The sequence below is a fragment of the Homo sapiens genome, chromosome 8 (assembly GCF_000001405.40).
Source record: "Homo sapiens chromosome 8, GRCh38.p14 Primary Assembly".
NCBI classification, from domain to species: domain Eukaryota; kingdom Metazoa; phylum Chordata; class Mammalia; order Primates; family Hominidae; genus Homo; species Homo sapiens.
The window spans coordinates 42867733-42885436 of NC_000008.11; the positions used below are offsets into that span (position 1 = coordinate 42867733).

At 41.9% G+C, this 17704-nt stretch overlaps 1 protein-coding gene and 1 pseudogene across 21 annotated transcripts in view; one reads left to right on the top strand and one right to left on the bottom strand.

Annotated features, from left to right (window-relative positions):
* The window catches only part of RNF170 (ring finger protein 170), a 47663-nt gene that overhangs the window by 18096 nt on the left and 11863 nt on the right, over positions 1–17704 (bottom strand). For 14 of the 21 annotated variants that reach the window (NR_027669.2, NR_027668.2, NM_001160224.2 and 11 more), the window contains 2 exons: positions 6199–6274; positions 2272–2380 (listed from right to left, as the gene is read on the bottom strand). Coding sequence is in view for 19 of the 21 variants with exons in the window: in NM_001160224.2 (NP_001153696.1) it covers positions 2272–2380; positions 6199–6274 (185 nt within the window). In the remaining 2 variants the exon portion in view is untranslated. The remainder of the gene's footprint in view (positions 1–2271; positions 2381–6198; positions 6275–17704) is intronic. The other 7 variants (XM_047422281.1, XM_006716405.4, XM_047422280.1 and 4 more) reach the window with 1 other exon arrangement.
* Positions 13504–13785, top strand: RN7SL806P (RNA, 7SL, cytoplasmic 806, pseudogene; annotated as a pseudogene).

A 17704-nucleotide genomic window follows, 5' to 3' on the forward strand; every position in this document is an offset into this window, starting at 1 on the left:
GCCACTGCACTCCAGCCTGGGCGACAGAGCAAGACTCCATCTCAAAAAAAAAAAAAAAAAAAAAAAAGAAAAAGAAATACAAAAAAGGAGTGCAGAGAAGTATGCATTAGAAACTAACTTGTAGAAAAGAAAGGATTTGAACTGAACTTCATAGGAAAGATGAGATTTAGATAGGCAGAAAACAAGAGGGAGGACACTTCAGGTTTTAAGAACAGCAAGGGCAAATGTCGGAAAGGAGTGTCACGTGGATTAGGTTCAAGAGGAGAAACGTATCTGCCTTCTATGATGCCCGTTTAATTTTCCCTGCCCAATCTTTCATAACTTTCCTGGTGATTAGCATTTCCAATAGAAAATTAAAAGATAAAAACTGAAATAAGCATTTTATACTTTGTTAGCTACTTAAGTGAAAACCTTAAAGAAGAGACTGGAATGAGTAGATGAAGCAATGATGAGATTGGATTACTGAAAGAGCACAAGGTACAGGAAACCCTGCCATTACATGGTATGGGTTCCAAATATGCCATCTCCAACTGCACAAATAACACTGTATCTAATAATTCTATACTATGAAGTTAGACAAAAGGGCCAACACAATTTACAGGACGATTATATGCTACATGTTAAATTAGTCCCTATATGAAAATTTCCTACATTTTGGGAGCAATAATACCCTATCTCAAACACAACTGTTTAAACAGAAAGAAACAATAAAAAACTAGGTCTAGTGATTGGACAAATCGAAGTGGCTTCGAGTGTTTACTATTGTATGAACCACTAATCATGCAGAACTGAGCACAGGGATTGAAGATAAACCTCGGTTTAAAAACTTGGCTCTGTCTGGGCTGGGTGCAGTGGCTCACATCTGTGATCCCAGCACTTTGGGAGGCTGAGGTGGGTGGATCACGATGTCAGGAGTTCGAGACCAGTCTGGCCAACATGGTGAAACCCCATCTCTACAAAAATACAAAAATTAGCTGGGCATGGTGGCAGGCGCCTGTAATCCTAGCTGCTTGGGAGACTGAGGCAGGAGAATCGTTTGAACCTGGGAGGCAGAGGTTGCAGTGAGCAGAGATCGCACCATTGCACTCCAGTCTGGGCGACAAGGCGAGACTGCATTTCAAAAAAAAAAAAAAAAAAATTGGCTCTGTCACTTAACAACTGGGCTACTCTTTGTAAAATGTATTATTATTATTTGTGAGACAGGATCTTGCTCTGCTGCCCATGCTGGAGTGCAGTAGCATGATCACAGTTCATTGCAGGCTCAAGCTCCTGGGCTCAAGCGATTCTCCTTCCTCAGCCTCCCCAGTAGCTGGGATTGCACATGTGAGCTATTGCGCCTGGCTAATTTCTTATTTTTTGTGGAGACAGGGTCTCCTTATGTTGCCCAGGCTGGCCTCCAACTCCTGGGCTCAAGCAATCCTCCTGCCTTAGCCTCCCAAAGTGCTGAGATTACAGGCGTGAGCCACAGCGCCTGGCCTCTTTGTAAAATTTCTTCACATCTCTAAAGCCTGTTTCCTCATAGGTGGGGTTAGATGAAGTACATTAATGTCCAATACATAGGCATGTAATAACTGATACTTTGCCCCTCAATCTTCTATGGCGTAAGAAGCCATAGAAGATTTTCCTGAATCTGCAGATTCAGGAAAAATAAGTGGTGGAAAGCACTCCTTCCTGATACTAAGTAAGTGTGAAATTATTCCCTTCTTACCCCAAGGTATGCTCTAGGATTCTCATTCTCCTTCATTAAACCTCAAGAGGTTGAGAGAGACAGAGACAGAGACAAACAGACTGAGACTAAGACCTTTAAGACTTTTAGTACAAACTCAGAGTCAAAAGAGGCAGGAGGACTAAGGCAGGGTCTTGGGCAGGTTCTTGAGAGAAGAACCTTCCTGCCCTGGCAAGGATGAATAATAAATGAAAGTCCCAAAAAGTGATGAACAAAGAGGGACTCAGTGAATCCCTCATGCTATGGATCTACTTGAACTACTGTCCAAACAAACACATTTCTGTTTATGGGGAAGCTGAATAGTTTCTTTAACCTCTGAACCCATAGCTGCTACATGGACACACTAAATAGAAAATAAATAAGTAAGTATATTATTTAGATGCTAAGTATACTTGGTTGACAAGTAGAGCAGGATATCAGAGGTAATCTACCCTACTCACAAAATACAAAATGTGACAAAGAGAAAATTGGGAATCCAGCCTTTGTACACATAGAGGTCTTGGTCTACACAGTCACTTTTCCCAAGTATAGCGTTGTTTGCTTACCACAAAAAAGATGTCCACAGTTGGTCTCCACCGGGAAGGAGGCTTGGTGCAGGCAGATGGGACAGTACATGTCAGTGTAGAACTGCTGTCGAGTGGCAGCAGGTGCATCCTAATAAGAACACAGGTGCACACATTGGAACACAACACATGTGGCCCTCAACAGTATCTCATGTTAAATTATATTTGAGAACAGAGTCAGCAGTGTGTAACCCTCATCAAACTGTAAACGTGCAATAGTTTAAGGTTATAATTTTAAGAATGTTATGAGGCTATATTGTTTTTATTTAAGCTGCATGGTTTCCACTTTCCTTCCTAAACACAATTTAAAGACAAAAACTTAGATTAACTCAAGAGTTCATCTTTTACTCTACTGGAATAAGTAAATTATTCTGAGTAACACAAGGCTGAGCTAGTGCATAAGCTAACAATAATAAATGTCGAGGTCAGGTGCAGTGACTCACGCCTGTAATCCCAGCACTTTGGGAGGCCGAGGCAAGTGGATCACTTGAGCCTAGGAGTTCCAGACGAGCCTGGGCAACATGGCAAAACCCCATCTCTACAAAAAATAGAAAAATTAGCCAGGAGTGGTGGTGGCATGCGCCTGTAGTCCCAGCTACTTGGGAGACTGAGGTGGGAGGTCACCTGAGCCTGGGAGGTTGAAGCTGGAGTGAGCCGTGACTGCACCACTGCACTCCAGCCTAGGTGACAGAGCGAGACCCTGTCTCAAAAAGAAAAAAATATCAAATGTCAAACTGTTTTCTAAGTCTTCACTTTTTTCATTTTCAACATCTTTTTCATTTTAAAAGTGTTGCACATATGCAAGAAACATCTAGATATCAAAGACCTCACTAGGATGGATCATGAGGGCAAGGGATTTATCTGTAGGACTCATTGTACCTCAGGACCTAGAAAAGTGTCTACATGGCCGGGCACGGTGGCTCACACCTGTAACCCCAGCACTTTGGGTGGCTGAGGTGGGTGGATCACTTGAGGTCAGGAGTTCGAGACCAGCCTGGTCAACATGGTGAAACCCTGTCTCTACCACAAAATACAAAAATTAGCTGGGCATGGTGGCGCACACCTGTAGTCCCAGCTACTCGGGAGGGTGAGGTGGGAGAATCACTTGAACTCAAGAGGTAAAGACTGCAATGAGCCGAGATCACACCGCTATACTCCTGCCTGGGCAACAGAGACCCTGTCTCAAAAAAAAAAAGTGTCTACATAACATATATTTTATGTTATTGTATTGTAAAACTTATTTATCAAAACTTGTTTTAATGGAACCCAGCACAGATAAAGTTGCTAGCATGAAAAATATCTAATTACAGAAAAAAGTATTAAGTTTACTAAATAGGAACTGTTCTTAAGTGAATCAGATTTTTGCCACTCAATATTCATAAACAAATTTAATAAATTTAAATAATAATAAATATAACTAAAATTTCATACTTCCAAAACAGTCCTAAATCACCAGAATATTCTGTGATCCAAGGCTACACCTTGATGTTATAGTCACTTATGTCAGTTCTAATGCTACAAAAAGTGTACAGCACTTTATGTTCCCTTCTCTACTTTTTTTTTTTTTTGAGACAGAGTCTCGCTCTGTCACCCAGGCTGGAGTGCAGTGGCACAATCTCAGCTCACTGAAACCTCTGCCTCCTGGGTTCAAGTGATTCTCCTGCTTCAGCCTCTGGAGTAGCTGGGATTACAAGCACCTGGCTAAAGTTGTGTTTTTAGTAGAGATGGGGTTTCGCCATGTTGCCCAGGGTGGTCTTGAGCTCCTGACCTCAGGTGATCTGCCCGCCTCAGCCTCCCAAAGTGCTGGGATTACAGGCGTGAGCCACTGCACCCAGCCTTCTCCTTATTAATTTTTAAAGAAATTGACAAAAAACAATTAACGGTGCTGTCCAACAGAACTTTCTGCAATAATTGAAATCTTTATCAGTGCTATCCAATACAGTAGCCAGGAGCCACATGTGGCCATTGTGTACTTGAAATGTGGCCAGTGTGACTAAAAGACTTAATTTCAGATTGTGTTTAATTTTAACTCACTTGAATAGCCACAGGTGGCTGGTAGCTGCCATACTGGACAGCACAGAACAGACTACATCGCCAGCCTTATTTTCACTCTGAGAGCTGTGTGCTGGGCCTCAGGAAGAGGTGAGGCAGTTGAGTGGACACTGCTGCAAGGAGACCTGGAAGATTCTCCTCAATCTGGGGCCCCTCCATAGCTGAACCCAGTCATGAAATTGCTAGTGTGAGTGTTAGCAAATCTTAGCAGTCTCATATGTTAATGAGAATAATAGTAGTTGCCTTACTTATGTCTAAAGATTAAATACAATTGTTGTTTGGGAAATCACTTTGTAAATTATAAAACACTATCTCAACATGAATTATGGGTAACAATTGTTATGGAACACAGTACTACTAATAGGCTTAAACTATTCTGTCTTTTTTAGACGGAGTCTCACTCTCTGTCACCAGGCTGGAGTGCAGTGGCGCAATCTCAGCTCACTACAACCTCCGCCTCCCGGGTTCAAGTGATTCTCCTGCCTCAGCCTCCCAAGTAGCTGGGACAACAGGTGTGCGCCACCATGCCCGGCCAATTTTTGTATTTTTAGTAGAGATGGGGTTTTACCATATTGGCCAGGATGGTCTTGATCTCTTGACCTCGTGATCTGCTTGCCTTGGCCTCTCAAAGTGCTGGGATTACAGGCGTGAGCCACTGCACCTGGCCCCGCTTAAGTTATTCTTGTATCAATAAATATAAGTTCCATGAGGGTAGGAATTTTTGTCTGTTTAATTCACAATTGAATTCCCAATGCCTAGAAAATGTATGGCATGTGGTAGATGTTCAAAAAATATCTGGTGAATGGATAAATTATAAAACCCTTATTGGGGCTAGGCATGGTGGGCTCACACTTATAATCCCAGCACTTTGGTTTTAGTGAAGCAAGCACAGCTCACTGTAGCCTCAACCTCCCAGGCTCGAGAGATCCTCCCACTTCAGCCTCCTGAGTAGCTGGGACTATAGCTGTGCACCACCATACCCAGCTAGCTTTTGTATTTTTAGTAGAGACAGAGTTTTGTCATGTTGCCCAAACTGGTCTCGAACTCCTAAGCTCAAGTGATTCTCCCGCCTCGGCCTCCCAAAGTGCTGGGATTACAGGTGTGAGCCACCATGCCCAGACTAATCCCAGCAATTTGTGAGGCCGAGGTGAGAGGACTGCTTGAGCTCAAAAGTTGGACAGCAGCCGGGGCAACATAGTGAGACCCTGTCTCTTTTTTACAAAAAAAAAAAAAAACGCTTATTGGAACTGAAGTTTGATCTATAGGAAAGGAATTTTTAATTTTGTTTCTTGATGTTAGATATCTTAGCCTGAAGGTGTACAATATCCTATTTATTCCAGGCTTCATAAAGTATATCTCCAATTCTTAGAGATTCGATCTGGTAAAAAGCAAAGAACAAACAGGAGAAAAGTTAGTTTTTCTCTTTGCCTAACTAGTTTTGTTGTTATAACTTTGACAACTGAAGAAAAAAGGAGAAAAAAAAACAAAAAACAAAACAGCCACCTCTTCTAGTTATTTCTTTGTAGATATTAAGGAGTATATGTCAGAAAAAATGTTTTTTCTACTACATTTCATTAAGGTCAATTAGACAGCAATTATTTCTACACTAATAAATAATAGGAAAACTGCTATCTTTTAAAGCAAATTAATAATAAACAAACATGAAGACATCTGAATAGATTAAGGCTAGGCAATTTGCCCATTCTTGCAAATATACAATCTATAAAATAATATAAGGTAATTTGAAGCTGGAAAGAAGCCCATGTTTCCAAAAAGTAATTTAGTAATGTTTTATCACAATTTCACATGCAAAGGGAGCTATCACATCTACTCCTCAAATAAATACATATACAATACCTGTTCTGTTTGAAGCTGTTCTCGAAGTACCCTTACTAGCTCCTGGTTTTCTGGGTGAATGTTTTGATGTACATTTCTGTTGAATAGAATATAATAAATTTTGAATAGAAAATATTATCATATGAATCCATTTTCTTCATGGGTCTACTTTCTGACTTATAACTACTGGTAATTAATGTAATTGATGGCATACAAGCACTTCACTTCCAGGACTGTACGTTTCAGGCTGTCCTGTGGTGAGTTCTTCTGAGATCACTGATCATTAGCCAATTTCAGGTTCAAGCGGCAAATGGTAAAATCCAGAGGCCTAGTACCTTGGAAATCTATTGTAAATGGAAGCTTACAAGTAATGTAAAGAACATTTGTTTCTTTGGTGAAATTTCTTCAAAATAAGCAGCTATCTAATTTTACCTACTATTATGCATTTGAACGCTTTTCCACATCTAATTAGATCCTTCTCCTAATTTTCAGGTATTAGGGGAGGGGAACAGAGCAGAAACTAAATTTAATGTAGAAAAGCCAAAACTTGGCCGAGTGTGGTGGCTCATGCCTGTAATCCCAGCACTTTCGGAGGCCAAGGCGGGTGGATCACCTGAGGTCAGGAGTTTTGAGACCAGCCTGGCCAACATGGTGAAACCCTGCCTTTACTAAAAATACAAAAATTAGCCGGGCTTGGTGGCGGGCGCCTGTAATCTCAGCTACTCAGGAGGCTGAGGCAGGAGAATTGCTGGAACCCGGGAAGCAGAGGTTGTAGTAAGCTGAGATCATGCCATTGCACTCCAGCCTGGGCCAACAACAGTGAGACTCCATCTCAAAAAAAAACAAAAGGAAGAAAAGCCAAACCTTAACATGTCACTAATCTCTTGACATTAACAATTAAAATGGTGAATCAAAGGCAAGCGGTTAGTGGCTAATATAAATGGATGGGATAAAACATCCCATATTGAAAGTCAGATGTTGGCTGGGCACGGTGGCTCATGCCTGTAATCCCAGCACTTTGGGAGGCCGAGGCCGGTGGATCACCTGAGGTTGGGAGTTCGAGACCAGCCTGACCAACATGGAGAAACCCTGTCTCTATTAAAAATATAAAATTAGCCGGGCTTAGTGGCGAATGCCTGTAATCCCAGCTACTCAGAAGGCTGAGGCAGAAGAATCGCTTAAACCCCGGAGGTGGAGGTTGCGGTGATCTGAGATCACGCCATTGCACTCCAGCCTGGGCAACAAGAGCAAAACCGTCTTAAAAAAAAAAAAAAAAAGAAAGATGTGTTGGTCAGGCTGGTAGGTGGGGTGGGGGTGAAGCGTTACATGTTATCACAGCTTAATTTCATTTGACTACTGATGTATCTTCTAAACATAAATGTCTTGAACAAGAATATTTTAAGTCTACACAGTCCCATGGTTACTCTACAGAGAGCCTTTACTCTCTGGGTAAGCCAATATCCAACAGACATAAGGACTCTCATATCCGAATGTGATAGGGAAAAGTATAGAAATCCATCCTGTGATTATTCAATTGTTAGCAAAAAAACACAAATTTTAGAAAAAGAAGTCACCTAAATATAACTGTTAGTTCAGAGAAGACATAAAAGCAATTTAAAGTCAAATATCTAAACAATGAAACAATTTGAACTCTGTTTAAACCTGTTAAATCTTATTTTGTTGTTGAGAAGGAGTCTCACTCTGTCACCCAGGCTGGAGTGCGGTGGCACAATCTCAACTCACTGTAACCTTTGCCTCCCAGGTTCAAGCAATCCTCTTGCCTCAGCCTCCTGAGTAGCTGGGATTATGGGCACGTGCCACCATGCCTGGCTAATTTTTGTATTTTTAGTAGAGATGGGGTTTCACCATGTTGGCCAGGCTGGTCTCGATCCGGACCTCAGGTGATCTGCCTGCCACGGCCTCCCAAAGTGTGGAGATTACTGGCGTGAGCCACCGCACCCGGCCTAAACCTGTTAAAGCTTGATGCATTCTTCATTTTAAAATAAGGCACATTTTTATGATTGAACAGATGATCTGTGAAAGAAAGCACTCACTATATGAAAGCACCCTGTCAAGGAGCAATCTAACTAGCAGAGGAACCATCTCATTTAAATACCAGTGAATACCTAGCTAAATGGCATTTCTCCATTCTTTGAGAGTAGAAAACCATTCCCTTTTCATTGGAAAAAAAATCGTGATGACATTTCAGAATACAGACATGAACCACGTGACTGGAAAGCCTCTCCTCTGGCTTCTTTCTATAAGAAAGAAGATGTAGGAATTCTTAAATCTGGTGGTAGAATATTTAATATATATTTTAAAAATATATTTAAATAGAATATATTTTAAAAAATATTCTACCACCAGATTTAAGAATTCCTACATCTTGTTGTGAAGCCAAACAACAAGAACAAATAGCCCAAGCTGCTGAATACTGCCTGTAACTCCCATAATAATGGTATTTGGAGACAAAACCTTTGGGAGGTAATTAGGTCATGAGGGTGGTGCCCTTGTGATAGGATTAGTGCCCTTATAAAAAGAGACATGAGATAACCTGCTCCCTGCTCTACTCTCTTCCATGTAAAGACACAACAAGAAAACCACCATCTACAAACCATGAAGCCAATTCTCGCTAGACACCAGATCTGACAACACCTTGATCTTAAGACCTCCCAGCCTCTCGAACTGTGAGAAATAAATGTTTATTGTTTAAGCCACCCAGTCTATGGTTATTTGTTTTTTTGTGGGTTTTTTTTTTTTTTTTTTTTGAGACAGAGTCTTGCTCTTTCGCCAAGGCTGGAGTGCCATGGTACAAACTCAGCTCAATGCAACCTCTGCCTCCTGGGTTCTAGTGATTCTCCTGCCTCAGCCTCCCAAGTAGCTGGGACTATAGCTGCACGCCACCACACCCTAATTTTTGTATTTTTACTAGAGACAGGGTTTTACTGTGTTAGCCAGGATGGTCTCAATCTCCTGACCTCATGATCTGCCCGCCTTGGACTCCCAAAATGCTGGGATTACAGGCGTGAGCCACTGTGCCCGGACTTTTTTTTTTTTTTTTTGAGACAGAGTCTTGTTCTGTCGTCCAGGCTGGGGTGCAGTGGCGCCATCTCAGCTCACTGTAAGCTCCGTCTCCCGGGTTCATGCCATTCTCCTGTCTCAGCCTCCCGAGTAGCCCGGCTAATTTTTTCTATTTTTAGTAGAGACGGGGTTTCACTGTGTTAGCCAGGATGGTCTCGATCTCCTGACCTCGTGATCCGCCTGCCTCGGCCTCCCAAAGTGCTGGGATTACAGGCGTGAGCCACTGCGCCTGGCCTGTTTTTGTTTTTGAGACAGATCTCACTCTGTTTCCAGGCTGGGGTGCAGTGGCACAATCTTGGCTCCCTGCAACTTCCACCTCCCGGGTTCAAGCGATTTCCAGCTAATTTTTATATTTTTAGTAGAGTTGGGGTTTCACCATGTTGGCCCATGTTTTGGCCAGGCTGGTCTTGAACTCCTGACCTCAAGTGATCTGCCTGCCTCAGGCTCCCAAAGTGCTAGGATTACAGGTGTGAGCCACCGCACCCAGCCTATGGTTATTTGTTATAACAAGCCAAACTGATTGAGACAATGGTCAAATACTTTTTGACAAGGGTGCCAAGACCATTCAATAGGGAAAGTACCCTCTTTCAACAAATAAGTGCCAGAAAACTGAATATCCATATTAAAAATATAAAAACTCAAAATGCATCAAAGGGCCAAACTTAAGAGTTAAAACTATACAAATTTTAGGAAGAAGCAAGAAAATATTCATGCCATTGGATTCTGGCAATGATTCCTTACATATAAGACAAAAGCACAGGCCAAAAAAAGGAAAAAAACACAAAGATGACTTCTCAAAATCAGAAACTATGTATATCAAAGGGCACTTAAGAGAGTAAGAAGAATATCCACAGAAAGGGACAAAATATTGGCAAATCATATACAGGAAATCCTGATTTTATTTTGTTTCACTTTATTGCACTTAGCAGATATTGCGTTTTTTACAAACTGAAGGTTGTGACAACTTTGTGTTGAGCAAGACTATTGGCACCATTTTTCCAACAGCATGCACTTGCTTCATGTTTCTGTGTCGTCTTTTGGTTATACTTGCAATCAATCAATCAATCAATCAATCAATCAATCAACGTTGTGTATGCTGTGACTGCTCTATTGACCAGCCATTCCCCAGTCTCTCTCCCTCTCCTCAGACCTTCCTATTCCCTGAGGCATTGACAATATTGAAATTAGGCCAACTAATAAATAACTCTATAGTGGCCTCTAGGTGTTCAAGTGAAAGGAAGACTTGCATGTCTCTCACTTCACATAAAACCTAGAAATGATTAAGCTTTGTGAAAAAGACATGTAAAAAGTCGAGCTAGGGCAAAAGTTGTGCTAGCTGGCCAAGTTGTGAATTAAAAGGAAAAATTCCTGAGGGACATTAAAAGTATTACTCAAGTGAACACATAAATGATAAAAAAGCAAAACAGCTTTATTGCTGACATGGAGAAAGTCTGAGTACTCTGGATAGAAGATCAAACCAGCCACAACATTTCCTTAAGCCAAAGCCTAATTCAGAGCAAGTCCCTCCCTCTCTTCAATTTTGTGAAGCTGAGGGAGGAGAGGAAGCTACAGAAGAAAAGTTGAAAGCTAGCAGAGGTTGGTTCATGACATTTAAGGAAAGACAAAGTGCAAACTTTTATTTTATGGAATAGCAAGTGCTGATGGAGAAGCTGCAGCAAGTTATCCAGATCTAGCTAAGATCATTGATGAAGGTGGCTACGCTCAACAACACATTTTTATGTAGAAGAAACAGTTTTCCCTTGCAAGAAGATGGCATATAGGACTTTCATAGCTAGAGAGGAGAAGTCAATGCCTGTCTTCAAAGCTTCAAAGGCCAGGCTGACTCTCTTATTAGGGGCTAATGCAACTGGTGACTTTTAAGTTGCAGCCAATGCTCATTGACCATTCTGAAAATCCTAGGGCCCTTGAAAATTATGCTCATCTACTCTGCCTGTGCTCTATAAATGCAACAACAATGCCTGGATAACAGCATATCAAACTATTTAAACCCACTTGAGAGACCTACTGCTCAGAAAAATGACTTTCTTTGAAAATATTACTGCATACATCTGTGTAGTGTATTAACAAAAAAATCTGTTAAAAAGAAAATATCACTGCTCATTGATAATACACCTAGTCACCCACGAGCTCTAATGGAGATGTACAAGGAGATGAATGTTTTTTTCATGTCTCTTAACACAGCATCCATTCCACAGCCCCATAAATCAAGGATTATTTTGACTTTCAAGTTTTATTACTTAAGAAATACACTTTATGTAGCTGCCATAGATAGTGATTCCTCTGATGGATCTGGGGAATCAATTGAAACCTTCTGGAAAGGATCCCCCATTCTAGATGCCATCAGAACATTCTTTTTTTTGGCCAGGTGTGGTGGCTCACGCCTGTAATCCCAACACTTTGGGAGGCTGAGATGGGCAGATCATGAGGTCAGGAGTTTGCGACCAGCCTGGCCAACACAGTGAAACCCTGTCTCTACTAAAAATACAAAAATTAGCCAAGCACGGTGGCACGTGCCTGTAGTCCCAGTTACTTGGGAGGCTGAGGCAGGAGAACAGCATGAACCCGGGGGGCGGTGGTTGCAGTGAGCCAAGATCATGCTACTGCACTCCAGCCTGGGCAACACAGTGAGACTCCATCTCAAAAGCAATAAATAAAGAATAAAATAACTTTTTTTTTTTTTGAGACAGAGTCTCACCCTGTTGCCCAGGCTGGGAGTATAGTGCTACACTCTTGGCTTGCCGGAACCTCTGTCTCCCAGGTTCAAGCAATTCTCGTGCCTCAGCCTCCCAAGTTGCTGGGATTACAGGTGTGTGCCACCGTGCCTGGCTAATGTTTGTATTTTTAGTAGAGACAAGGTTTCGCCACGTTGGCCAGGCTGGTCTCAAACTCCTGGCCTCAAGTGATCTGCCTGCCTCGCCCTCCCAAAGTGCTGGAATTACAGGCATGAGCCACCATGCCCCACCAAAAACATTCTTAATTCATGGGAGGAGATCAAAATATCAACATTAACCGGAGTTTGGAAGAAGTTGACTCCAGCCCTCATGGATGACTTTGAGAGGTTCAGGACTTCAGAGGAAGAAGTCACTGCAGATATGGTGGAAACAGCAAGGAAACTAGAATTAGAAGCGGAGGCCGAAGATGTGACCAAACTGCTGCATCATGACAATACTTGATCAGATGAGGAGTTGCTTCCTATGGATGAGCAAAAGAAGTGGTTTCTCAAGATAGAATCTAATCCTGGTAATGACATTGTGAGCATTGTTGAGATGACAACAAGGGATTTAAAATATTACATAAACGAAGTTGATAGAGCAGAAGCAGTCAGGGTTTGGGAGGACTGACTCCAGTTTTGAAAAGAAAGCCTGTGGATAATAAGCAATCAAACTGCATCACATGCTACATACAGAGAAATCTTTTGTGAAAGGAAAAGTCAGTCAATGTGTCAACTTTATTTGTTGTCTCATTTTAAGAAATTGCCAGCCAGGCGCAGTGGCTCATGCCTGTAATCCCAGCACTTTGGGAGGCTGAGGCGGGCGGATCATGAGGTCAGGAGTTCAAGACAAGCCTGACCAACATGGTGAAACCCCATCTCTATTAAAAATACAAAAATTAGCTGGGCATGGTGGTGCGCACCTGTAATCCCAGCTACTCAGGAGGCTGAGGGAGGAGAATTGCTTGAACCTGGGAGGTGAAGGTTGCAGTGAGCTGAGATCACGCCACTGCACTCCAGCCTGGGCGACAGAATGATACTCTGTCTCAAAAAAAAAGAAACTGCCACAGCCACCTCAACTGTCAGCAACCACCACCCTGATCAGTCAGCAGCTGTTAACATGGAGTCAAGACTCTCCACCAGCAAAAACATTACGACTTGCTGAAGGTTCAGATAGATAACTGTTAGCATTTTTTAGCAATAAAGTATTTTATAATTAAAGTATGTACATTGTTTATTAGACATAGTGCTATTACACACATAGACTATGATATAATGTGAACATAACTTTTATATGCACTAGGGAACCAAAAAATTCATATGACTCACTTTATTCACTTTATTGTGGTGGTCTGAAACCAAACCTGAAATATCTATGGGGTATGACTGTATCTGATAATAATATCAGAATATATATAGAACACTTATAACTCAAAAACAAAAAAGTAAACAACCCGATTCAAAAATGGGCAATGGTCTTGAATAGTCAATTCTCCATAGAAGACAGACAAACTGCCAGGTGTGGCGGTGCGCACCTGTAGTCCCAGTTACTCAGGAGGCTGAGGCAGGAGAATTGTTTGAGCCCAGGACTTCTAAGCTGTAATGCAATATGCCACTTGGGTGTCTGCACTAACTTTGGCATCAATATGATGACGTCCCAGGAGCAGGGGCCCATCAGGTTGCCTAAGGAGGAGTGAATTGGCCCAGGATGAAAACAGAGCAGGTCAAAACTCTGGTGTTGCTATTTACAGGAGCAAAGACATGGAATCAACCTACATGACCATCAATGGTAGACTAGATAAAGAAAATGTGGTACATATACACCATAGAATACTACGCACCCATAAAAAGGAAAGAATGCAGCAACATGGATGCAGCTGCAGGTCATTTTCCTAAGTGAATTAATATAGAAACAGAAAACCAAATACTAGGGCCAGGAGCAGTGGCTCATGCCTGTAACTTCCGCACTTTGGGAGGCTGAGGTGGGCAGATCACTTGAGCCCTGGAATTTGAGACCAGCCTGGGCAACATGGTGAAACACTGTTTCTACAAAAAATACAAAAATTAGTTGGGCATGGTGGTGCACACCTATCATCCCAGCTACCCGGGAGGCTGAGGTGGGAGGATCACTTGAGCCTGGGAGATTGAGGCTGCAGTGAGCCATAATCACGCCACTATACTCTAGCCTGGGCAACAGAGTAAGACCCTATCTCAAAAAGAAACCTCAAAAACCAGATAGACGAATGGCCACTAACCATGTGAAGTGATGCTGAACATCATTACTCAGTAGGGAAATACAAATCAAAACCACAGTGAGTTACTACTTCATACCTATTATGGATAGTTATTATTAAAAAAAACACACACACATAGGGAACAACAGTGTTGGCAAGGAAGTAGAGAAACTGCCATGGTGCCTTGCTGGTGGGAATATAAAGCAGGGCAGCTGCTGTGGGAAACAGTCTGGAGGTTCCTTAAAATGTTAAACATAGAAATTACTTTATGACCCAGAAATTCCAGTTGAAAACACAGACTCAAACAGATACTTGTACACCAGTGTTCCTAGCAGCATTATTCACAACAGCCAAAAGGTGGGAGTAACCCAAATGACCACTGACAGATGAATGGAGAAACTAAATATGGTATGTACATACAATGAGAAATTTTAAATTTTAATATTTCTTAGAGACAAGGTCTTGCTCTGTTGTCCAGGCTAGTCTCAAACTCCTGGCCCAAGCAATCTTCCCACCTCAGCCTCCCAAAGTGCTAGGATTACAGGTGTGAGCACCATACCCAATGAAATATTATTTAGCGATAAAAAAGAAGGAAATTCTAATACGTGTTACAACATAAATGAACTTTGAAAATATTATGCTAAGTGAAACAAGTTAAACACAAAAGAACAAATACTGTATGATTCTACTTTATGAGGTGCATAAAATCGGCTCATTAATGGAGACACAAAGTAGAACACAGGTTACCCAGAGCTGAACCATGGGAGTTGCTACTTAGATGGGCATAAAGTTTCTGTTAGGGAAGATTAAACACCACATGATCAGGCCGGGCACAGTGGCTCACACCTGTAATCCCAGAAATTTGGGAGGATGAGGTGGGTGGATTGCTTGAGCCCAGGAGTTCAAGACCAGTCTGGGCAACATGGCGAAACCTTGTCTCTACCAAAAATACAAAAAAATAGCTGGCCATGGCGGTGTGTGCCTGTGGTCTCAGCTAAATGGGAGGCTGAGGCGAGAGGATCATTTGAGCCTGGGGGGCGAAGGTTGCAGTGAGACAAGATGGTGCCACTGCACTCCAGCCTGGGCACCAAGAGAGAACCTGTCTCAAGAGAAAAAAAAAAGAGAAATCACATGTTCTGACTTATAAGTGGGAGCTAAACATAAAGATGGAAATAATAGACATCAGGAACTTCAGTGGGGAGACTGAAAGGGGGCAAGGGTTGAAATACTACCTATTGAGTACAGTGTTCACTATTTGGGTGATGGGTTCACTAGAAGCCATCACTATTACGCAACATACCCATGTAAAAGACCTGCACACACACCCCCAAAATCTAAAATTTAAAAATAAAAAAATAAAGTTTGGGATGATGAGGAAGTTCTAGAAGTAGATGGTGATGATGGTTACACAACAATGTGAATGTACTTAACGCCACGGAATTACACACTTAAAAATGGTCTGAATTAGCCAGGCATGGTGGCGCGTGCCTGTAGTCCCAGCTACTCAGGAGGCTGAGGCAGAAGAATCGCTTGAACCCGGGAGGCGGAGCTTGCAGTGAGCCGAGATTGCGCCACTGCACTCCAGCCTAGGTGACAGAGTGAGACTCTGTCTCAGAAAAAAAAAAAAAAAAAAAAAAAGGTCTAGGCATGACCTATAATCACACCTATAATCCCAGCACTTTGGGAGGCCAAGGCAGAAGAATCACTTGAGACCAGGAGTTCAAGACCAGCCTGACCAGCATAGTGAGAACCTGTCTCTACTAAAAAAATAAAATAAAATATTTTTTAAAAAGTTTAACATGATAAATTTTGTTATGTATATTTTACCACAAAACCAAAACAAAATTAATTATAATGACTAAAAATCATTAAATAAATTACAAAAAAGAGACTTGTCTGAATTTTAAACTACAAATGCCACCCCTTCCCCAATACATCATGATTCCCTCAGTAATCACGATTATTTCACTGATTACCTCAGACAATGTCCAAGTAACCGGGAGCACATTATGTAACTTGAAAAGATGTCACTGTAGGCTGAGTAAAAATTTCATCATTTATCTCCACCCACTGTTCCAGTGGCCCCAGTTCTGCCCACTGCGCCTGGCAGAATAAATTTAATTCTTTTTTTTTCTTTTTTTTGAGATGGAGTTTCGCTCTTGTCACCCAGGCTGGAGTACAGTGGCGTGATCTCGGCTCACAGCAACCTCTGCCTCCCAGGTTCAGGAGATTCTCCTGACTCAGCCTCCGAGTAGCTAGCTGGGGTTATAGGGGCCCACAACCACACCCACCTAATTTTTATATTTTTAGTAGAGATGGGGTTTCACAATGTTGGTCAGGCTGGTCTCGAACTCCTGACCTCCAGCCATCCATCCACCTCAGCCTCCCAAAGTGCTAGGATTACAGGCATGAGCCACTGAGCCTGGCTCTAATTCTTTTTTTTTCTATTGCTGCTGCACAAATTAAAATTTTAATTCTTTAACAAGACCAAGCCCTCATCACAAAGACAGTTTTATTGTCCAAGAGTCCCTTCCCTAAGCTAGACATCCCTCCTTCCTTCAAGCATTTTATATGATTTGTTTCCACAGCTTTCCCTATTTTGACAGTCTCCCCTGAATGTTTTCCAGCTTAAAATGCTAGTCCCAAACTGAACATAATGCAGATTTGACCTTTAGCTATTAATTTTATAAAAGTAGCCTATACAGTTTTCAGCATCTACAATATACAATTGCCTTATTAAATGAATTCTTTTTTTTTTTTCTTTTGAGATGGAGTTTTGCTTGTTGCCCAGGCTGGAGTGCAGTGGTGCGATCTCAGCTCACTGCAACCTCTGCTTCCCAGGTTCAAGCGATTCTCCTGCCTCAGCCTCCTGGGTAGGTGGGATTACAGGCACCCACGACCACACCTGGCTAATTTTTGTATTTTGAGTAGAGACGGAGTTTCATCATGTTGGCCAGGCTGGTCTTGAACTCCTGACCTCAGATGATCCGCCTGCCTCAGCCTCCCAAAGTGCTGGAATTACAGGCGCGAGCCACCGCGCCCTGCCTCTCTTTTTAAAAATGCATCTGTGTAACTGAAACTTTGCGCTGTTAGACTATCTTTCCATCGCCTGAGAGCCACCATTCTGCTCTCTGCTTCTGTGAATTCAAATGTTTTATATTTTACAGTTAAGTGGGATCGTGCAGTATTTGTCTTTCTGTGCCTTATTTCAGTTAATATCATGTCCTCCAGGTGCATCCATGTTGTTGAAAATGGCAGAATTTCCTTCCTTCTCAGGGGCTGAAAAGTATTCCATTGTGTATACAGAGAGATCTATATACTCACACCACATTTTCTTCATTCATTCACTAGTGAACACCTAACTTGATTCCATATTTCAGCTACTGTAAATACTGCTGCAATGAACATAGGAACACAGATAAATCTTTTCAACATACTGATGTAATTTCCTTTTGATATATACTACCCTGAAGTGTGATTG